The following is a 23,107-nucleotide window of genomic DNA, read 5'->3' on the forward strand; positions in this document are numbered from 1 at the left end:
AAGCTGAAGATCCAAGTAGCCCTCAAGAAAATAAGTGTGGCAAAAACAGAGTACACTAGCTAAAGTGTAACAGAAGACAAAAATCAACAGAAGGTAAAGACCCTTGAAGATCAAATTAGATCCAGACACTAAGAGCCATTTCAGGGCTCATGATAGCCCAGAAGGACCCTGGAGTTTCAATCTGTTCCCACAAATGCAGCATAGTCTAAGGTTATTGTTATAATAGAAGCAAGCCAGCTACCAAGAACTAGCCTAGGAAGGTATAAGCCAACGCACTCTACACACAACCCCCCCTTTTTTTTTTTTGAGAAGGAGTTTCGCTCATGTTGCCCAGGCTACAGTACAGTAGCACGATCTCAGCTCACTACAACCTCCACCTCCCAGGTTCAAGCGATTCTCCTGCCTCACCCTCCCGAGTAGCTGAGATTACAGGCATGCACCACGATGCCCGGCTAATTTTTGTATTTTTAGTAGAGACGGGGTTTCACCATGTTGGTCAGGCTGGTCTTGAACTCCTGACCTCAGGTGATCTGCCTGCCTCGGCCTCCCAAAGTGCTGGGATTACAGGCGTGAGCCACCGTGCCCAGCCCACACACCCCATTTTTAACAAGAGGTAAGAAGAATGCAAACGCAGCCATACTGCCGTACAAATAGGGTGATACTCTCATATGATAATGTATAGCTATATAGAATAATCATTTAATTCACCTACACAAGGTGTCCATTAACCTGTCAAAAAAAATAACTAGGCCGGCTCATGCCTGTAATCCCAGCATTTTGGGAGGCCAACGTTGGAGGATTGCTTGAGTCCAAGAGTTCGAGTCCAGCCTGGGAAACGTGATGAAACCCAGTCTCTACAAAAAATACAAAAATTAGCCAGGCATGGTGGCACATGCCTGTAATCCCAGCTACTCGGGAGACTGAGGCACAAGAATCGCTTGAATCCGGGAGGCAGAGGTTGCGGTGAGCCAAGATCATGCCATTACACTCCAGCCTGGGTGACAGAACAAGATCCTGTCTCAAAATAAAATAAAATAAAATAATTCAAATTAATAATCTATCTGTGACTAAGGGAAGTTATCAGACTTCCTTTCCCTTTCCTTAAGGAGATGAACTAAAGAAGGCACTAAAAAGAAGAAATGCCCTAGATCAGAGGTCAGCAAACTTTTTCTATAAAGGGCCAGATAGTTAACATTTTTGGCTTTGTGGCCTATCCAGTCCCTGTTGCAACTACTGGACTCTCCTGTTGTAGCACAAAAGCAGCCACAGACAATATGTAAACAAATCAAGTGGCTGTGTTCCAACCGAGCTTTACAAAAACAGGCAGCAAGCCAGAATTGGCCCATGGCCATAGTATGCCAACCCCTGTCCTAGACCTGAAAAAGGAGTACTTTTAGACAAGATACCCCAACAGGCTTGAAATGAGGAAAAGGTACTAGAGTATCCCATAACATGTGCAAGCCAGACTCATCTGGATCCAGATTAGACGTCTGGACTCTTTCAGACCTTTGTGTTTTCATTTTCCATTCATTTTCTAGGTAAAATTTACTACTAAAAGTTCTAATTGTGCTTTGGCTCAAATTAAGAGGAAAAGACTTTTTTCCACATTTCTGCTAGATTAGAAAAGACTGGATGTGGGGAGGTGGGAAGAAAGGAAGTTAGTGGCGGCAGCTTTTGTACCAAAACCAAGGACTAAGAAATGGAAGGGTTCTGGCACAGAGGGGAAAGCCAGAAATAAAGTCCAGCTATAGATACTAGAGTCTTCCTTCTACCACACAGCACATCCCAACCTGGCACTGACTCCCAATTGAGGTCCTTAGCAAAAACTTAACCCTCTAGGAAGTACTGTTCAGAATGTGGCAGAAGTTCAGCTTTGGAAAAATTTATCTGCTCTACACTCGATCTTCTTTCCTAGGAATTGTTTTGTTAAATTTGGTCCTGCTGGGCGGGCATGGTGGCTCACGCCTATAATCCCAGCATTTTGGGAGGCCAAGGCAGGCGGATCGCTTGAGCTTAGGAGTTTGAGACCAGCCTGGGCAACATGGTGAAACCTCATCTCTACTAAAAATACAAAAAATTGGCCGGACGCAGTGGCTCACACCTGTAATCCCAGCACTGTGGGAGGCCGAGGCAAGTGGATCACCTGAGGTCAGGAGTTCAAGATCAGCCTGGCCAACACGGTGAAACCCCGTCTCTACTAAAAATACAAAAATTAGCTGGGCATGGTGGCGGGTGCCTGTAATTCCAGCTACTCGGGAGGCTGAGACAGAAGAATCGCCTGAACCCAGGAGGCGGAGGGTGCAGTGAGCCGAGACTGCGCCATTGCACTCCAGCCTGGGTAACAGGGTGAGACTCCATCTCAAAAAAAAACAGAAAAAAAAAAATTAGCCAGGTGTGCTAAAGCATGCCTATATTTTCAGCTACTTGGGAGGCTGAGGTGGGAGAACTGCTTGAGCCCAGGAGGTGGACGTTGCAGTGGGCTGAGATTGCACCACTACACTCCAGACTAGGTGACAGAGTGAGACCTTATCTCAAAAAAAAAAAAAAAAAAAAAAAGTTTGGTACTGTTTAAGGTAGATCAGGAGGAAAACAGGCAAATACTTGTATAAATGACAGTGAATATTTGATGAGTTGAATTGAAATAATTGTCATTACTACCCAAGCAGCAACACCATCCAATTGGCGGCAGCACTGAAACAACAGAAACTCCTAAATTAATAACCAGCTTCCCTCTGGATGGCTACCTCAATAGCAATTTCCTCGAGTGACAGTAAATATTGTATAAAAACATGAAACATGACAAGGAACAGCTTTTAATTAATGTCATGTCTAATTAAATATGATAATGCCACATCAGGCAACTGAAATTATCTATCAGACCCCAATGTCTATTTGGTTTAAAGAAAGTTTTTTTATCAGTAAATATTGTAACTGCTAAAATAATTTCATAGGATTGGGTTACAGCATTTTGAATTATTGAGGTATAATTCATTTCAAAGTTAGATGAACACCAAAATGATTTCTCTTAGACCAGATAGCCTTAAATTAATGCTCAGTAGAAATTTTGAAAATATGTGTTAATGGGCATATGAGAGACTAGATAAAATGTGTAAAAAAGTCCCAGCACTTTGGGAAGCTGAGGTGGGCAGATGACCCGAAGCCAGGAATGCAAGATCAGCCTGGCCAACATGGTGAAACCCTGTCTCTACTAAAAACACAAAAAATTAGCCGGACATGGTGGCACGCACCTGTAGTCCCAGCTACTCAGGAGACTGAGGCACAAGAATCACTTGAACCTGAGAAGCAGAGGCTGCAGTGAGCCGAGATCATGCCACTGCACTCCAGCCTGGGTGACAGAGAGAGACTCCATCTCAAATAACAATAATAATAATAATAATGTGTAAATAGTTCAAAGCAAATCCACAGACACTATAAGGAAAAATCTTGAAGGGCTTTAGGATGTCAGGGACACTCCCCGTAATTTATAGACAGCAATATATGAAGATATACAGTTCATCAGTCAATTCAACAGATATCTACTGGGTTCCTAATATGTACTCTGACCCTATGAGGCCTCTGCCATCAAAGAGCTTACAACAGTTAAGGAGGTTAGGAAGTGTAATAGATATACAAACAGGAGTTGCTAATCTTTTTCCGAGGAAAAGCTATTTATAATTTTCTCCAAAGTCTTCAGATTTTCCACAGAAATGTTCATAAGTCATGAGCAGGGGAGCAGAATGATAGGTCTCAATCTCAAGATGAATCAAGCTGGAGGCTAAAGCGGGAGAATCACTTAGGCCCAGGAGTTCAAGATCAGCCTGGGCAACATAGTAAGACCCCCATCTCATAAACAAACAAACAAATAAACAAAAAAGATCAAGATGAATCATATCAGGAGATCCAGTGAAGGCTGGAGCACAGTAGCACAATCACAGCTTACTGCAGCCTTGAACTCCTGGGCTCAAGTGATTCTCCCACTTCAGCCTTCCAAGTAGCTAGGACTACAGGCACATGCCACCACACCCACCTATTTTTTTTATTTTTTTATTTTTTTGTAGCTATGGGTTTCACTGTGTTGCCCAGGCTGGTCCCAAACTCCTGGTCTCAAGCAATCCTCCTGTCTTGACCTCCCAAACTGGTGGGACTACAGGCATGAGCCATCATCCCCGGGATCTCTTTCATTTATTTATTTATTTTTATTTATTTATTTATTTATTTATTTATTTATTTTGAGAGAGTCTCGCTGTAGCCAGGCTGGAGTGCAATGGCGCAATCTCAGCTCACTGCAACCTCCACCTCCCGGGTTCAAGCAATTCTCTTACCTCAGCCTCCTGAGCAGCTGAGATTACAGGCATGCACCACCATGCCCGGCTAATTTTTGTATTTTTAGTAGAGATAGGGTTTCGCTATGTTGGCCAGGCTGGTCTCGAACTCCTGACCTCAGGTGATCCGCCCGCCTCGGCCTCCCAAAGTGTTAGGATTACAGGTGTGAGCCACTGTGCCTGGCCCCAGCATCTCTTTTAAAACGAAAAGTTATGGAGTTGAAATATTTGCCCTCACAGGTCCACTATAATGCTAAACATAAGTAATATTACATATGTTCTTTTATTTAATCCTTACGACTAGACAGTAAGGTTGTGGTTGATTTATTTTACAGATGAAGAAACTGAATCATAAAAATTCAGTACTTATCCAAATTAATACAAGTAGTCTCAAAGAGGTGGAGTTGAGTTACAAATTCGAGTCTGCTGGTTCCAAAACCTATCTCTTTCTTACACTAAGAAACCTTTGGATATAGCTCCTAGGAATCATAAAATGTCCAAAGATATCACAAATCTGAAAGCTAAAATGTGGAATATCAAGAATTATATTAGATATTAGAAAGAACAGACAACAGGAAAGAGTAAGAGATGAAGTCTGTCCTAAATGAAGATGGACTCAGTGTTAGAACCCAGAGACCTGGGGCCAAGCACGGAGGCTTACGCCTATAATTCCAACTCTTTGGGAAGCCAAAGTGAGAGGATCACTTGAGCTGAGGAATTCAAGACCAACCTGGGCACTATGATGAGACTTCATCTCAAAAGAAAAAGAAAGAAAAGGGGGGGGGGGTGGAGAGAGAGAGAGAGAGCAAGCAAGCAAACAGAGACCCAAAACCCAATATATTCCATAATACCCTTGCAGACTTAGAAACCATTAGCTTGTTAATGTGAGTATGTTATGCTGGAGAAGTATGAGGAACAGGTATTCTCCTCTTTCCTGTACAGCTGGAAGGAGTTAAGCTGCATAATGTCTCTGAAAGACAATTTGGCATTATGTTATGTGGCAAGATTAAAAGATACAAATATTCCTTGACCCAGCCATTCCACTTATGGGAATTTACTCACACATTTACATGCAGGAAAAGTAAATACAAGGATAGTAACTGTATACAACAACAAAAGACTTAGGTGTCTACTGACAGCAGATCAATTAAATATATGATACATTCATTAAATACAATGCTATGTTGCAATTAAAAAACACAAAGGCAGGTCCTCTGAATGTGTTGATATGAATAATCTCTAAGTTCTTTTTTTTAAGGCTCATCAAGTGAAGCAGTGGGTAAGTTCTACAATTAAGTGAAAAAAGGAAGGTACTAAACAGTGCGTACAGCATGATACTATTTGTCAAAAAATACACATATACATAGATATATATTTGGTCGTATGAAGATATATATACAGTATATACATATATAGCTTTAAGAATTCACAAGAAGCTGATATTGGTAGTTGCTTTGCAAAAGGAAAAGGAGGGACTAGGGAACGGGGTAGAAAGATCTATTTTTTCACTGTATACACTTAAATGCTGTTTGAAATGTTTGCCTTTTTCAAGAATTACTCATTCAAAAAAATTAAATGAAAACGATCACAAGAATGAGTTACAAACAAAAATTATGACTGTGTGACCTTACAGACATACACACAAGCCTGAAATAGTATCCACCTACATCCTTACCCGTGTCCACTGGCTCTAACTTTTTCCATATAAAGCTCTCTCAGGTTCAGGCGTTTCCCTAGGAGGGCATTCTTCTTTTAATGATGAGTATTTTATTTTAACTTAAAGCACAATTGTTCATGAATTGCTCAAATCTAATTTCTTCCTATGGCAAACCAAGACTCATCCCTTCCTAAACACTGTTGTCTCTTTCCTTTAATGTAGTTCCCCAATTAGAGAAATTTGCCTAGAATAGCTAGTTTTTCTTTACATACTTTTATATTATATTGTATTATATATATTATATAATATATAATACATTATATTATACCATTACATATTATATTAATATAGATTAATATAACATATAATATATGTTAATATATTATATATTATTATATTACATATATTTATATATTAATCTATAATATAGATATACTATATAATTGTAATATCATTATATTAGTGTTCCTTACTGTATTCTTTTGAAAGAAGAAACTATTAGAGCCCATCAGCCTCCAAGGAGAACTGTCTCCACAATCACACTACATATTCCGCATTTCTAGGTCCATGTAATGCAAAATGAGATTAGCTATTGCTAGGGATTCCCAAAGGCCGCCCAAATGGTTTGGTCCCAGAACAAACATTATTGAGGAAACACTGCCCCCTGGTGTTACTTAGAAAGTTGAAATGTTTTAAACGAAATAAAGTATGGGATGGGGCCAGGCTCCTGCTTGTAATCCCAACACCTTGGGAGGCCAAGGCAGGAGGATTGCTTGAGGTGAGGAATTCGAGACCACCCTGGTCAACACAGAGAGACCCCCCATCTCTACAAAAAATTTTTTTTAATTTTATTTATTTTTTTAATTTTATTTTTTAAATTTATTAAATTTTATTTATGTATTTTTATTTGCAAGATGGAAAAGTTCACAAGAAATTAATTTAAAATAAACAAATGTGAGTATATGCTAAGTACTGTTGATAGACCTTAGAAGTTAATAAATGAATAAGTAATTCTCTCAGCACTCAGTTCTAGTTTTACTGGGCTCCAGATCAAAAATAAACATCAGGGCCGGGCGCAGTGGCTCACGCCTCTAATCCCAGCACTTTGGGAGGCCGAGGTGAGCGGATCACGAGGTCAGGAAATCGAGACCATCCTGGCTAACACGATGAAACCCTGTCTCTACTAAAAAATACAACAAAAATTAGCCGGGCGTGGTGGTGTGCGCCTGTAGTCCCAGCTACGGGGGGCGCTGAGGCAGGAGAATGGCATGAACCCAGGAGGCGGAGCTTGTAGTGAGCTGAGATCACGCCACTGCACTCCAGCCTGGGCGAGAGCGAGACTCCGTCTCAAAAAAAAACAAAAAAAAATAAAATTAAAATAAAAATAAGCATCAGGCCGGGTGCGGTGGCTCACACCTGTAATCCCAGCACTTTGGGAGGCCGAGGTGGGTGGATCACGAGGTCAGGAGATCGAGACCATCCTGGCTAACACAGTGAAACCTGTCTCTACTAAAAAATAGAAAAAATTAGCCGGGCATGGTGGCAGGCACCTGTAGTCTCAGCTACTCAGGAGGCTGAGGCAGGAGAGTGGCATGAACCCGGGAGGCGGAGCTTGCAGTGAGCTGAGATCACACCACTGCACTCAAACCTGGGCGACAGAGTGAAACTCCGTCTCAAAAAAAATAAATAAAATAAAATAAAATAAACATCAGCAAACAATTTCTCAAGAAGTCTTTCTATCCAGTCATCTATTGATGCCAAAGCATCACATCCCCTGTGGGAAACTAAAGAAGAGAGAAAAAAATGATGTCCTCTTGTCTTCAGATCCCTCTGCTAACAATCTATACTTTTAGGCTTCCCAAAGAAGACCCTGTCCCCTAAGTGCTACTGACTAAAACTGTGTCTGTTATTCCAGAAAACTAGTCTTTAACGTCCACTCTTAATTTCTAATAAAATCTCCTGGGAAATATAAAGCTATGAGTGAGTAGAGGATATTATCCCCCTAGTCTCTGAAAATGAGGCTTTGGACCAGACTAATCTGGGATTCAAATTCCAACTCATTTATTCATAAGCTGATGGCTTTGGACAAGTTATTTTCAATCTCAGTATTCTACTCTGAAAAACAAGGATAACAGTACTTATCCTGAAGGAGAGTTGTGAGGATTAAATGATGAGATAATGTTTAGAAAGGTATCTAACACTGGTACATATTCTATTCTGTTGCCAGAATAATCTTGATAAACCACGAATTGGATCATGTTAAATTCCTGTTTAAAGTTTTTCAGTGAATCCTGTTGCCTTTGAGATAAAATCCAAACTCATTAGAATCCTTCAAGATCCACTGCCTCCCTCATTTCTCATGCCTTCCTATCTACACAGCAGTCATGAAGTTCCCGAACTTGCTCCTCACTTACACATCTCTACATCTCTTGCCTACAATGATTTTTCTATTTATTTTCTCCTACTCATCTTCAAAACTTAGCTCAGTAACAGTCTCTTCAAAGAGGTTTTCTCCAATCCTCAACCATCCAGGGTCTACCTCAAAGAACCTATCATACTTTATCATAATTTCCTGTTTGTCTGTCTTCTCACTAGATTATGAACTCCAGGAAGAGGCTATATTGTTTTAGGTCTGGATAACCAACAATTAGCCCATTGTAGATGCTTTTAAAATGCTGAATAAATTAATTAATGAATAAAGACACTCAGTACTCTGCTCCTTTTGCAAGGAAAGGATTTAACAGTCAAGAATCCTTTTTGCCTTCTGTTTAGTCAAGGAAAGTTTTCTGATTGGAGAAGAATTTCAAACAAGGTTTGCAAAAAAAATAAAAGCACCTAAAGCTTCCTCTCAAAGCAACTGGCATCCCTCCCCCAACCCCACATTCGAATTACACTTACCAGGGAAGGACTAGCTAGCATGCAGTGGAAATTCCAATAGAAGGGGAGGCCAGAGAGCTCACTTCGCACCCGTAGAATCAGTGCATCTGCCACACAATCACAGGAGAAGGTAGCTTCGCTAGGGTGAGCAGCGTCCTTCAACAATGGGCGAAGGAGATTATCCAAATGACAGAGGAAAGCTGCAGGAGGAGCAGTGAGCCGCTTGTTCAGCTCCTAAAGAGAGAGCAGTGGTACAGAGTAAGGGTGCTAAAAGGAAACTAATTCCCTCATAAGTAACAGCAAAGGAAAGCCCTGGTTAACACGAAGGCAATGGACATGAGAGGAAGGGGAGAGAAGATAAAAACATCACAAGGGGAAAGAAGAAAACAAAAAGAAGAGAGTCACAAAGACCAATTGGCCTACTTCACAATTCTGCCTTGGGCAAGATTAAATCACAAAAGGCCTATCTAGATCAAATAATATATTCATTATCATGCATAGGGTAGGGAAACTAACTTTCTTTCTCTCTCTCTCTCTCTCTCACACACACACACACACACACACACACACACACACACACACACACACAAAGATTCCAGGCAGAAGTACAGGTAGAAGTACAGGACATTAACTGGAATTGTCTCAACCCGATTCAACCTTCCTTGGGAAACTACAGGCCAGCAAGCTGGTTGATGTTCACATCCCCGACACAGCAGTACTTCTCCTCATACTTACCTTGGCTCGCTGGCTGACCACACTAGTGTCCACCTGTTCATGCCACACCTGTTGAAGATCTGAAACCAACAAGGCATAGCCCTGCTTGGTGATAAAAACCTTGGCCAAGAGGGAGTTCTCTGCAAGCTGTAGCCACGCCCATGGCTGCATCAACAGGCCTTGCTCCAGTTCTTCCATCTGCAAAAAAGTCCTCATTTAGTAAAGAGCCTCAGGGTCATGCTGGCCTAGGGAGGGCACCACCCAAACCAGTCTGTATCAACTAAAATCTCATGAAAATCCTCCCTGATAAAATAGAAGGCATGGATTTACGTTCTCCCAGTATACAACCAGCTGAGCACTGACTTTACTACCTCCTGGCCACTAAAAGTATATTTAAAATCTTGAGGGTTTTTTTTTTCCCATATTACATTCCTAGAGGACAGAAAATCTTTCTTCCATAGTGTTTAAACCTCAGCATATTGCTGTTAGTATTTCTGCTTTCTAATACTATAACATAACGTGGAAACCTAAACCCTTCTTGTTCCATCTTTATCACATTCCTAATAAATATGTCACTCCTATCCTTTCCCAGAACTAGAAGAGAAGGAATAGTTCTTGTCTTATAAAACATCATAAGTCATAGTGTCAGGGCCAGGAAATTCGAAGTATTTGATCATTATCTAAAAACAAAGTTTAGGAAGCTCTCAGGATTTTTTTAAAAATCCCTAAAACAGGTTCTTAATCTAGAGTCAATGCATGTGAATCCTCTAGAATTATATGAAAATGTTATGTGTACACGCATATATGCATGGGGAGGGGGAAGAGGTCTACAGCTATCATCAAACTCTCAGGGATCGATGACACAAAAAAGAGCTAAGAACCTGTGTCCAGGAGCAACAGAAAAGACCTAAATTTCATTTCAACAAAAACCAGAATGACTAGGAAATCATGAATACAAGGCAGAGCACATCACAGAGGTAAAGACTGAATTAACTTCCACTTAACTCATCCTCCACATTCCCACTCCAGTGCACTGCCACCAATGACAACATGCCCAGCCTGGAACCCCTGCAAAACAACTTTTCTATCTCAGCAGCTAAAGTAGTAGGCTTAACCTAGTAGACAATCAGAACTACGGCTGCTTGACAGAGAATGTGATTGTTTTTCCTGTGGGGGAGAAAAAAATATGTCAATTTCCTTCATTATTCCAGTCTACAAATATAAAATGAACAGAAGTACCAGGAAGGAAAAATTTAGAATGTAAATAATGAAATTCCTTATTAAGTCTGATTAACACAGTCATTTCCCCTAGCTTTTGAAGTGTGCCCTTGTGACTTGTGACATAACTTTATATATATATGCATATATATATGCATATATATATATGCATATATATATGCATATATATATGCATATATATATGCATATATATATATGCATATATATACATATACGTGGTGATCTTTCTTTATGGCATCCTCAAAGCCTTGTGTTTGGAGGATGGTGTTTCCGTCACATTTCCCACATGCTGCTCTTATGGGGACAGAAGTGGTCATGGGATGATTAAGCTAGTCCTAGCCGGACAAGAGCTCCACAATGCCAAAGGTCACAAACGCGAATAAAGTCGCCACTTTCATCTCCCTTATAGGCACTCCCCAGTGTACTCTTAACAGTTGCCAAAATTGGGTTTACTATTCTAGCCCATTCCTTCGGAAAGCCCGGAAGCTCAGAACCCTCAAATTGATGGGTTTTGTTTGTCTGTTGGGTAAAGGGGGAGGAGTTTAAAATGTGGCCAGGAGTAACGGGCCCTATAAAAAGGCCTGACACATTGGGCACCAGACCCCGGCTGCCTGCTCCCACCACACGCGTCCCGTTCTGCGTCCGAAGCTTCTACACTTCATCCTTTTCTTTTTTCCTTCAAGGCTGCCTCTAACATTCACATTAACGAGATTCACGGGTTTATTTCTCTTGAGTGGAGGGGCGCTGAGCGGCATCCCGGCGGAGGGGTCCCTTGAGAACCTTTATCTGCACCGAGTCCGCTCCTCAGCAGTGACCCCTCTGGGCAGTTCCTCCGACGCCCTGCAGAGGGCAGTAGAGGCCCAGAGAGCATCCCGGCTGGGCCCCGCCCGGTCCCCCTGGGACAGCGCGAACCCTAGGTCCCACCACAACCATAGCCCCACCCCAGGAGCCGCCAGGCGTCCCGCTTCCACCCGCCCCAGCTATAACAGCCTTCGCTGTCCGCCTTCCCATTTCTACAGCACTGGCTGCACTGGGGCGCGGCTTCAAGGGGCAACAAAGCCGGCCACCAGCGGCTTCGTCGCACCAAACAGGCGACCAACGAGTACCTTCACTCGAGCCCTACCATCCACGCCGGGCAGCAGCCAGCGGACTGCGCACGCGCGGCCCCGCCCACCCCTCCCCCGGAGGCCTGCCCTGGACCCCGGCAGCGCGCGCTCCCTCCAGGGAGAAAAGGCCAGCGCCAGGGCCAACCCGCAGCGTCTGAGCAGCCCCTCGCTGGCTTGCTCCTGCCCGGACTCGAACGCGATTCCACCTACCGTCAGCGGCCGCGAGAGCGCCCACTCTCTTAGCCGCACGCACGCTTTCCTGCCCGCTCGCGCAAACCGAAAGGCCTAGAGTAAGAGGCCGCTTTCCCCCCACCGCAAGAGGAGGCAGGGTCTTGGGATACAGGGGCGGGGCCTATGCCTGGCGTGGGCGGGGCTTCTGGGCCTGGGACACTGATGAGAGGAGCGCCCCAGTGGCCAGGGTAAGTGGAGGAGAGGCCGGGCAGCCGGCTAGTAGAAGGGTAGTGGCGCGTCTTGGAGTCACGCTGGCCGAGTGGAAAGAATAGCGGGCGAGGCGCAGGAGAGGGGAGCCCAGGTTTGGATTTGTCAAACTTGAGTCACTTCTCTTCCCTCCCCTACCTATCCGGTCTCTTTTTAACAAAATAAGGGATTGAACTTCTGTAGATGATCTCTCAGGTCCTCCACCAGCACTAGAGTTGTTGAAGGAAGGAGTCTCCCAGGCATAAGTCCCATAGTCCGACCTCATCCTTTACCTCTCCTGCTTCATTTCTCCATCATCCCCGTACTTATACTCCCTCACTACTGAGAAATTTGAAACCCCTCACCTATCTTGGACTTTGTACAACCCATGGCTTTGCTCAAGCTGGACCCCGAACCTGAAAACTTCTCTGCATCCATTTTCCAAAACCAAAAATCCTCATTTGTCAAGGCCATCCTCATTGCTTCTTGCATAAAGCCTTTCCCACTGTCCCCAATCAGAATTCATTATCCCTTCCTCTTTGCTCCCACGGCATTATTTTAATCTTTATTACAGACTGCTTTCTGCTTTGCATTTTCGTTAGTAATTACAAAGGTCTTTTTAAACCGTAAATGCCTTGAGACGGCATGGACCCTGTCTTATCCCTGTAGTTCCAGGACCTTGCACATGGGAGATGCTCAGTAAGTATTAAAGTGAATGCTGGGGTTCAAGTGGCATTGATAGTACACAGGCAAAATCTCAATCATTCATGGTCCACTAAATCATGGCCTCTGCTCTGGAACAGTTAGGCCTAATTAAGACAAGGAAAGGCAACCCACCCTATTGGGAAATGGAACCTCTAGACAGTCCCATGTAATACACACACACATATCCTCTGCCTACAAGAAAGAACAGTTTGGGAGCTGACTCTCCAGCAGATGAGAGTTAGGGCTAAATTAACCAGGGCAGAAGTAGGCGTTCTGGTCATTTCTGGGACCTAAACCCTTCTCTGCTAGATTCAGGGCATGGCTCCCCTGAGCCAGGCAGCAAGTCTGCCATCTCTTCTGGCTCAGAGGAGCCTCCTTCCTCATCCCCAGGGTCTTCAGGCAGTGGGCAGAGGCAGTGGAGAGGCTGGGGGATGCAGGGACAGAGGTTTTGGATGGGGAAAGGAAGTCTGTACACTTGAGCAGCCTTCTCCCTGGGCTTCTGAGGCATTCGAGCCTCTTGGGCAGTGAAAGGAGATGGTAGCCCTTGACCTAGGCCTCGCTCAAGCTGTGTGCCTGCAAAAGAGAGGTTTGTCAGGCTATTGCCCATCCCAGGGAGGGATGGCTTCCTGGCCACTCCCCAGTCTGCTAGGGCCTAGCCTCAACTTACCAGGAATCGTGTTCTCTAGTAGGAAGCCTGAGAGTCCAGCCAGGAAGATGGGCTGTGTCAGCAGTGAGTGCAGTAATACATCCAAGGGGCTCCAGCCTATGAAGAGTTGGGGCCAGGCAGGAAGGGAACTCTGATCCTATATCCAAGCCCAGGAGTCTTACCCTCCCAGACCTAAACCTAAGCCTTGGACTAAGGACAGATCTTTCTGAATTGTCATTTCATCCCTCTCACCCTTTGTCTTTCTACTCTCCACTTTCCAAATCCAGGCCTTTCCCACAGGATTCCTGCTCAACACCCTGTGTTCTGATCATCCACACACCCTCCATATATGCTTTGACTATTCCAGGTTCCCTTTCTCTAGAAAGCGTAATATTTAAGTCCCAACCTCATCTCCCATTTTTTACCCTCTATGCTCTATCCTGGGTTTTTCAACCTCAGTCCTACTGACATCTTGGACCAGATAATTCTTTGTTGGGGGTGGTGGTGCAGGGGGGATGTCCTGTACAGTGTAGGATGTTTAGCAGCATCTTTCTATCCACTAAACCCTAGTAACAACTCCCTCTTCCTCCATTTGTAACAGCCAAAAATGTCTCCAGACATTGCCAAATGTCCCCATGGGGGCAAAATCACCCAGTTGAGAACTGGGTGAGACAAATTAAGCAATTTACTGCTCTCAGGACATATCCTAAGACTTCCCACTTCTGTGTCTTTGCATAAATGATGGTTCCTCCATCAGGAATGACCTTCTTCTCACCAAAGATGTTTAAAACTTACCATCCTTCAAGACCAGCTCTGTTACTGGATCACCTCAAACAGAAGCTATCTCTCTTGCCACTGAGCACTGTAGCTCTTTATCTGAACCTTTCCTGTTATTTTCCTACACATCTCATCTCTTGTACTACGCTGTAATAACGGAAGGCATCTTTGTATTCCAAATGGCTAGCATAGTGCTCAATAAATATCTGTTAAACAAATGGATGAAGTATTTACACCAAAGCCCAGAGAAGGCTGTGGGGCCAGGAGTCCGGGCAGCCTGAAGCCTCAACTTGCTTTCCTGCTACTGAGCAACGCCTCTTCCCTTCCACCTACCTGTGCTGAACAGGACTGGGGCTTCCCGAAACCATCTTGGCAGCAGCAAGGCCATGAAGATGGAGAAGCCCACAATGAAGATATTTCGCCCAGAGTCTATGTCAGCCAGGTAGAAGCTGGAGAATCCAGCAGACAAAACCACAGCCTGGGTCACCCCCAGCACCCCACCTGTCTCATACAGAAGAAATCAAGGGGGTCAGGAGGAGTCAAGGGGGCTCACATAGCATGGAGTATTGCAGGGCAAGCAGGTTGTAATGGGAAACAAATAAAACCCAAGAGAATGATTTTTGTTTTTTTTGTTTTTTTGTTTTTTTGGTTTTTTTTTGAGAGCAAGTCTCACTGTAACGCCCAGCCTGGAGTGCAGTGGTGCAATCTCGGCTCACTGCAACCTCCGCTTCCTACTCCCGGATTCAAGCGATTTCTCCTGCCTCAGCCTCCCGAGTAGCTGGGATTACAGGCATGTGCCACCACGCCCAGCTAATTTTTGCACTTTTAGTAGAGACAGGGTTTCATCATGTTGGCCAGGCTGATCTCGAACTCCTGACCTCAAGTGATCTGCCTGTCTGGGCCTCCCAAAGTGCTGGGATTACAGGTGTGGGCCACCACGCCCAGCCTGAGGCTGATTTCTGATTCTTCAGGAAGCCCAGAAGCCCAATCAAGAGAAGACCAAAATGTTGGGCTGAGAAATTGAGGCTGACACATGCTCATATCCATCCATCCATCCATCCATCCACCCATCCATCCAGGAAAGCTATTTAGAAGGAAAGGGTGCCATCCTAAAGAACTGATCAGGCCACACTGGGGAGTAGCAGTTCAATACCAGCCCTGTTGATACATCCACTCACCAACAACAGGCAGTGGGATGGTGGTGAGGAGCTGAGCCAACCTGGGGGAGAGTCCAAGCCCCACGCAGAGTAGCCCCACTAAGTGAGCCACTTGCTGAGATCCAGCCTGCATGAAGAAAAGACACTGGAAAACACAGCCACTTCCTCAGACTGTCCCAGGTCTTTGCCTTACTGGTTCCTTCTCATCATTTGGATCCCAGCTCAAATGTTACTCTTCCAAGAAGCCTTCCTGGCCAGTCTATCTAAACGTGCCTCCTTTCCATCCCACTACCCTGATTTTTTTATATAGCACTTATTGCCTTCTGAAATTTTCTTCACTTTTCTTTTTTTAATTTTTAATTTTTTGAGATGGAGTCTCGCTCTGTCGCCCAGGCTGGAGTGCAGTGGTGCGGTCTCGGCTCACAGCAACCTCTGCCTCCCAGGCTCAAGCGATTCTCCTGCCTCAGCCTCCTGAGTAGCTGGAATTATAGGTGCACAACACCATGCCCAGCTAATTTTTGTATTTTTAGTAGAGACAGGGTTTCACCATGTTGGCCAGGCTGGTCTTGAATTCCTAGCCTAAGTGATCTGCCTGCCTCAGCCTCCCCACGTGCTAGGATTACAGGTGTGAGCCACCATGCCTGGCCCACTTTTTTAAAAAGATACTTTTTTCCTTCAACTGTCTGCCTCTCCCTCTATGAAGTCCCCAAGAGAGCAGAACTTTATGTGACTGGTTCTTTGCCCTAGCCTTGATACAGTGCCTCATGCACAGGAGTTCCGTGGTGATTTGTTCACTTCCCCACTCTCTTAGCCCAAAGTCTAATCTTAGGCACCTCCCCAAGTAAGATAGTTGATGTGAGGTGCTAGGCACACCTGGCAATCAATCGGTGTAAGTTCCTGTCCTTCTTCTTCCCCTCTAGCTCCATCCTACCCCACTCCCATCCCAGGTCCACGTACCTGGATAAGACCCACTTTGCCCACGTTGGGGAAGCTGGATGCAGTGCCCATGGGGCTTCCCAGCAGCCCGGCCAGCACACTGCCCAGCCCCTCCAGGCTCAGCCCTCGACTGCAGGCATGTGGAGGTGGGGGAGGCAAATGCAGCAGCCGGCCACACAGGGCATAGCAGCCCAGGGAACTGGTGGAGGCTGCCAAGGCCATGGAGATGCCTGCAGCCAGAGCTCTGGGCGTCAGCAAAGGCCAATTCCACTCACCTGGGGAGGGAGAAGAAGCCACTTTGGGGCCAGACTCAAGTCAGGAGTACCCCCTGCCTCCAACAGCCTGTGCCACAAGAATCCTAGATGCCTCAATGTCTTTGAAGACAATGTCTTGGGACAAAACTACTGAACTCTAAGGAGAAAGACCCATGCCTTTACCATGGTCTACAAGGTCCTCTTTGGTCTGGCCCTTCCCTCTCTCTGCAGCCTTATCTCCCAGCACACTCTGCCTCACTTCCTTCATTCCTGCCACACTGGCCTTGTTGTAGGCCTTTGTACATGCTGTGCTCCCAGCCACCACAGGGCCTTTGCATATGCAGTTTCCTGCAACTAGAATGCGCTTCCCTCCTGCCTTTGTCTAGTTAGCTCCTACTCATCTCTTCCATCTCAACTCAGTGGCCACATCCTCAAGAATATCCTTACTTAGGCGGGGTGCAGTAGCTCACGCCTGTAATCCCAGCACTTTGGGAGGCCAAGGCAGGTGGCTCACCTGAGGTCAGGAGTTTGTGACCAGCCTGGCCAACATGGTGAAACCCCATCTCTACTAAAAATACAAAATTAGCCAGGCATGGTGGTGCATGCCTGTAATCCCAGCCACTTGGGAGGTGGAAGCAGGAGAATCACTTGAACCCGGAAGGCGGAGGTGCAGTTAGCCAAGATCACACCATTGCACTCCAGCCTGGGCGACAAGAGTGAAACTCCATTTCAAAAAAAAAAAAAAAATTTACTGACCTCCCTGATAAATTCAAATTCCCTATTATAAGTTTTTTGGTTTGTTTGTTTGTTTTGAGACAGGTCCTTGCTCTGTTACCCAGGCTGAAGTGCAGTAATGCAATCATAGCTCACTGCAGCCTCAATCTCTCGGGCTCAAGCGATCCTCCCACCTTAGCCTCTGAAGTAACTGGGACTAAAGGTGCATGCCACCATATCTGGCTAATTTTTTATACTGTTAATAGAGACGAGGTCTCACTATGTTGCCCAGGCTGGTCTCTAACTCCTGAGCTCAAGCAATCCTCCCACCTCAGCCTCCCAAAGTGCTGGAATTTCAGGTGTGAGCCATGGTGCCTGGCTATTTTATTTTATTTTATTTTATTTATTTTATTTTAATTTATTTTATTTTATTTTTATAAACAAGGTCTCACTCTGTCGCCTGGGCTAGAATGCAGTGGTGCAATCATAGCACACCGCAGCCTCCAACTCCTGGGCTCAAGTGATCCTCCTGCCTCAGTCTCCTGAGTAGCTAGGCCTACAAGCATGTGCCACTAGGCCCAGCTAATTTTTTTATGTTTTGTAGAGTGGAGTCTTGCTTTATTACCCAGGCTGCTCTCGAAATCCTTGCCTCAAGCAGTCTTCCTGCTTCTGCCTCCCAAAGTGCTGGGATTATAGGTGTGAGCCACTGTGCCTGGCCTCCATTATAAGCTCTTAGGACACAATGTATCTCCCTTTGGTTACACTTCCCACAATGGCAATTTTATATTTCCTCGGGTGACTCTTTAATTAGTATCTGTATTCCCCAATAGACTGTAAGCTCCCTGAAGGCAAGTACTGTTTCTGTCATGTTCATCACTATGTCCTCTACCATGTGCCTAGCACATAATCAGCAGTCAACAGATCCTTATTAAATTAATGAACAACCAGCCTGGACAACATGGCGAAATCCCGTCTCTACAAAACAACACAAAAATTAGCCAGGCATGGTGGTGCACGCTTGTAATCCCAGCTACTTGTGGGGCTGAGGCACAAGGATAGCTTGAGCCAAGGAGGTTGAGGCTGCAGTGAGCCATGTTTGCATCAATGCTCTCAGCCTGGGTAACACAGCAAGACCCTGTCCCAAAAAGTAAATTAAATAAATAAATAAATTGAAGAATGAGCAAATTTCACATACAATGCCTCAAAAGCAATCTTTATACATAGGTTGCCAAGTCAAATGCCCATAGGGGCTGGTAACATAAATGTGTTCATTGGGTAAGGAGTATTGGTAGTGAGTATCGGGGGTTACAGAAACAACAGATGTCTGTCTCCTAACACTGACCCAAATAAAACACCTGCAGTGGGATGGGGCACAGTGGCTCATGCCTGTAATCCCAGCATTTAATCAAGCAGATCACTTGAGCCCAGGAGTTTGAGACCAGCCTGGGCAACATGGTGAAACCCTGTCTCTACAAAAAAAAAAAAAAAAAAAAAAGCACACCTGTAGTCCCAGCTACTCCGGAGGCTTAGGTGGGAGGATCACCTGGGCCTGGGAGGTTGAGGTTGCGTGAGCCATGATCACGCCATGCACTCCACCCTGTATGACAGAGTGAGACCCTGTCTCAAACAAACAAACAAAAAAACACCTACAGTGAGGGGCTAGCATTGTCTGTCTCTCAGACTGATAATTTCTCTCTCCTATATGTTTTCAAAAAACACAGGATTTAACTCAGAAATAAAATCCATTAAGTTCTTTGAGTTCAAATAGATACCTTTATTTGAACAAGAGAATGGAGGACTAGGAGAAAACCTACCTGGGTGAGGCAGCCAAATCCATGGTGCCTTGGTGGGGGCAGACAGTTCCTGGGGGATAACACTGAATCCCACAAAGGCAGAAACAATCCACACACAGGCCACTGGGATCAGCACCTGAGGGGCGAGACTGAGAAAAGAACTCCTCCCCCAGAACCTTCTGAGCCAGCCTTGCAGGGGTAGACAGAAGCCAAAAGGTAGGGGATGGAGTGAGCACTCCAGGCCAGCCCTTCTGACCTCTACTGCCCTGCCCAGACCCACACATACCGAAAGGAGCCGGAAGACAGGGAGAGGAGTGTGAGTTGATGACGTTGAAGCTCGCCTCCAGGGGCACACATGAAACTGGCAGGAGCCCAGGTGCTGAGAACAGACCACCATGAGCAGGATAACCCTAGGAGACAGAAGGCTTTAGGAGCAAGAGGCAGTGGGTATCCTGAGGGATGGGAAAGGAGGTGGGAGTGGGCAGAATATCATAAGAGCGGGGGGTGATACCAGAGAAGGAAACTCCCATGGAAGGAATAGGAAGTGACCTTGGGGGACAGCAGAAAACAGTGTGAAATTCAAGGAGACCAGATGAATCAAGGAAAAGTCTTGGATTCCAAATATAAAATATGTCCCTATTCCAGTCGCTGCTGAATCTGATAGGACCAGCAGTTCTGCCCTCCCCTAGTCCCCCCATACACCCCCACTGGGCACCATCCCACGCCTCTCAGGACTCACGTACAGCAAGGCCAACCCCCAGTGTGTGAAGCAGAACTGGGCTACCTCCCTGTGGGCAGAGAGCCCTGCCACAACCAGGCTGGGAGCCAGCACCAGGGGCCCACAGTGGGGGAACACGTGGCCGGGACTCCCCAGCAGCCCCATCATGCCCTGCAGCAGCCCAGATACTACCACTGCCCCGGACACCTGGTAGAAGAGAGGAGAGGATGGAGAGAAAACATTCTGCTCAATCAAACTGGCCTCAGCCTGGTCTTCCTAATTCTAAGTATGGGTTCCTCCCAAAACTCCTTTCCAGGAGCATCTCAGTCTGTGCATAATGGAAACAAGAGCCCCCCCCAAGCCTGGCACCACCCTTATCCCTTCTCACCTCCAGATACCCACCTCCTGGAGAGAAGTGTTCCAGTGCCCCAGGCCATGGCAGCTAGGTCCCCTACAAAGGTGCAGCATGAGGGAGGCTAGGAAAAGTTTGGGGCATGGAGAAGAGAAGGGTGAATGGAATGGAGACCCATTGCTCTACAGTCCCACTCCTGGCACAGGTCCAAGCCCCCTATAGTGTCACAGTCTCACCACTGCCCAATCTCAATTCTGCACCCACCTACACCTGCATGCTCAGATGAGAACCCAGCCCCACCCTTACCCCTTGCCCTTGCTCTGTGCTCACAGTTTCCAGGTGTCTGGATGGCCCGGGGTAGCTTCTGGCTGGTCAGCACCAGAGCAGGGATAAGGAACTCTAAGGATGGAGCCTGGACAAGAGGCAGCCTGTAGGAACAGCAGCCCCAGCAGGTCTGGGACTATGTGGCAGCCAGCAAGGCTCCCCCAAACCTCTCCTACCCTCCAGGACTCTGCCCCTCTCTCCAGGGAGGTTCCTCTCACCTGCTGCCCATCCAAGTTTGCAGGATGGTAGACATACCACATGAAAAGAAGCTGGAGGCCAGGAGCTGAGAAGGGGAGTAAGAGAGTCCTCCTGGGGAGAGACTGCAAAGCAGGAGCAGGTGGGAGACACAGAGCAGAGAAGCCATGACCAAGACATGCTGCAGGTGGAGGAATGGGGAGGGCAGTCTTCAGAGAAGTGGAAATACCTACAATACTTCCAGAGGCTTTCACATGCCACATCTACACCTACTTCCCCACACACACCATCAGGCAGCACCAACTCCTGCACCTCTGCCTCCTACCTGCAGAGCCAGAAGACAGCTGAGGCCCCAAGGCAGAGATCCACACAAAGGGTCCCAAGAGTGGGTGGAGGGATTCTGGGGAGCAGGTGGAGGCAAGGGGGCCAGGGCATCCTGGGAGCCCACTGATCGGAGTTGGCTGGGATTGAGGGGTGATCGGCTCATGCTGCCTTGCCTTTCGCTTTGTCTTGGCTGCCCGGGACCAGAGTTAAGTAGAGAGAGTAAGAGGTCAGAGTTTGGGTGAAGCCTGGGGTGGGGAGAAGGTGGGGAGAGGGTGGGGGTGTCAATGAAGCGGAGCAAAGGTATAAGGAATTTGGGGCAGGGCACCACCCTTTCACCTTTGCCCAGCTGTTGTGCAAATTCCATCAGCCATTAACTGGGGAGCTGAGTTCTGGGGCCCTCCCCCGAGAATCTTCTTCCAGATTTCCTGCCCCTAGACCAGGCTGTAGAAAGTAGGATAGGAGGGGTGGGGAGGAGAGGAGCTCTTCAAAATAATATGGGGAAATTTTGCAGACTTTATTCCCTCCCATTTAAAACTATCACTATTTGATCCACAGTCCTCACCCCTTTCAGAACCAAGGCCCCTGGACTACTTCAAAATGAAACTTGTGGGCTCAGTATGGTGGCTCATGCCTGTAATCACACCACTTTGGGAGGCCGAACTGGGTGTATCACTTGAGGTGAGGAGTTCAAGACCAGCCTGGCAACATGGTGAAACCATCTCTACTAAAAATACAAAACTTAGCTGGATGTGGTGGCACATCCCTGTAATCCCACCTACTCGGGAGGCTGAGGCACAAGAATTGCTCGAACCCAGAAGGCGGAGGTTGTAGTGAGCTGAGACCGTGCCACTGCACTCCAGCCTGGGTGACAGAGTGAGACTGTGTCAAAAAAAAAAAGAAAAAAGAAAAAAAGAAACTTGTGGACAATATATCCTACATCACATGTGACAACCACAACTACCTGAAACATGCTCACTGTAAAGAATAAAATTTATAATAACATGTATTTCATTACGTGAAGGCTTAAGCACAACTAAACCAGAAGACAATAAAGTACAATGAAGTAGTCCAATCCCACACCCTATGAGAATTGCTGTGGTTGCAATAGCTGCAATGCCAGCTGATATTGGTGCTTTATCGGTGACTCTGATGTTGGTAACCCGATTTTCAAAATGGCAAACAAACTCTTGGTTAAGGTGCCAAGCAAAATAAAGTCGTCTTAATTTACATGGGAATGAATTCCTAGCAAACTGAGTCTTTTCAAAACGCACAAACGCTATTTCACGTTTACATGTGCAAAGACAGTTCTAGGCTCAGATAAACAGGGTTTTCATATACATAAAGCTGGTCATTCAAAAGTTGTCTTGGGAATTCTTCACAGTACGGGAGGTCTGAGCATTTCATGATGTCTAGCATCCCGCCCAGGTTGACGAAATGCCAGTAGCACCCCATCCCCTTGAATCCTTTTGACAATGAAAAAATAGCCCATAAATTTCCAAAATGCCCCCTAGGGGGCAGAACCACTTCTTCCGTGAAGTATCCTCAGCAGTCCCAAATACCCTCAGCCAAGCTGCCCAGACTGTTTTCCTTCCTCCAGTGATGACCCAGCCTTGGAGTTCTTCAAGTTCTTGGAATTGTTAAGCACCATGTGACCATCACCATGTGTCAGACCAGTGAGGAGGTCAGGAGAGAGAAGCGTCCTCGTGGCTTGCCCTCAGGAGCTCACAAGGCTCTGCTGGTTACAAGGCCTGGCCCCTCTCCACGAGATGTGCTTTGGGATCCACAAGGAGAGTGCTTACCCAGAACAAGTGACAGACAAGGCCAACTCAGGGACAGGACAGTCACCATGTGTGTCCCATGGCATCCCAAGTTGAGCAGTG

At 46.0% G+C, this 23,107-nt stretch overlaps 2 protein-coding genes across 7 annotated transcripts in view, besides 3 other annotated features; both read right to left on the reverse strand.

Annotated features, from left to right (window-relative positions):
* The window catches only part of NHEJ1 (non-homologous end joining factor 1), a 91,459-nt gene extending 79,238 nt beyond the window's left edge, over positions 1 to 12,221 (reverse strand). For 3 of the 4 annotated variants that reach the window (NR_165304.1, NM_024782.3, NM_001377499.1), the window contains exons 1-3: positions 12,126 to 12,221; positions 9,592 to 9,768; positions 8,878 to 9,090 (exon numbers count right to left, since the gene is read on the reverse strand). Coding sequence is in view for 3 of the 4 variants with exons in the window: in NM_024782.3 (NP_079058.1) it covers positions 8,878 to 9,090; positions 9,592 to 9,768 (390 nt within the window). In the remaining variant the exon portion in view is untranslated. Of the gene's footprint in view, positions 1 to 8,877; positions 9,091 to 9,591; positions 9,769 to 11,915; positions 11,962 to 12,125 lie in introns of those variants that run through there. The other variant, NM_001377498.1, reaches the window with a different exon arrangement.
* Positions 11,886 to 12,005: a silencer, noted in NCBI's record as "silent region_12340". NCBI's record gives its function as "represses an Ori minimal core promoter by ATAC-STARR-seq in GM12878 lymphoblastoid cells {active_cell/tissue: GM12878}" and the evidence as "EXISTENCE:reporter gene assay evidence [ECO:0000049][PMID:35858748]".
* SLC23A3 (solute carrier family 23 member 3) lies at positions 12,871 to 21,435 on the reverse strand. 3 transcript variants are annotated; one of them, NM_001144889.2, is made up of 12 exons: positions 21,229 to 21,435; positions 20,927 to 21,084; positions 20,715 to 20,812; positions 20,435 to 20,508; positions 20,058 to 20,239; positions 19,601 to 19,724; positions 19,336 to 19,450; positions 16,575 to 16,828; positions 15,639 to 15,744; positions 14,794 to 14,961; positions 13,705 to 13,800; positions 12,871 to 13,610 (listed from the first exon to the last, which is right to left on the reverse strand). In NM_001144889.2, the coding sequence occupies exons 1-12, from the start codon at positions 21,388 to 21,390 to the stop codon at positions 13,315 to 13,317; spliced, it is 1,833 nt and encodes a 610-aa protein (NP_001138361.1). In that variant the 5' UTR covers positions 21,391 to 21,435; the 3' UTR covers positions 12,871 to 13,314. The 3 variants fall into 3 exon arrangements, with proteins under 3 accessions (NP_001138361.1, NP_001138362.1, NP_653313.3); NM_001144890.2 differs by having other exon boundaries at positions 20,691 to 20,812; NM_144712.5 differs by lacking the exon at positions 16,575 to 16,828 and having other exon boundaries at positions 19,336 to 19,384; positions 19,601 to 19,693.
* Positions 22,722 to 22,881: an enhancer, noted in NCBI's record as "active region_17139". NCBI's record gives its function as "activates an Ori minimal core promoter by ATAC-STARR-seq in GM12878 lymphoblastoid cells {active_cell/tissue: GM12878}" and the evidence as "EXISTENCE:reporter gene assay evidence [ECO:0000049][PMID:35858748]".
* Positions 22,932 to 22,981: an enhancer, noted in NCBI's record as "active region_17140". NCBI's record gives its function as "activates an Ori minimal core promoter by ATAC-STARR-seq in GM12878 lymphoblastoid cells {active_cell/tissue: GM12878}" and the evidence as "EXISTENCE:reporter gene assay evidence [ECO:0000049][PMID:35858748]".

Source organism: Homo sapiens, chromosome 2, assembly GCF_000001405.40.
Source record: "Homo sapiens chromosome 2, GRCh38.p14 Primary Assembly".
Lineage (NCBI taxonomy): Eukaryota > Metazoa > Chordata > Mammalia > Primates > Hominidae > Homo > Homo sapiens.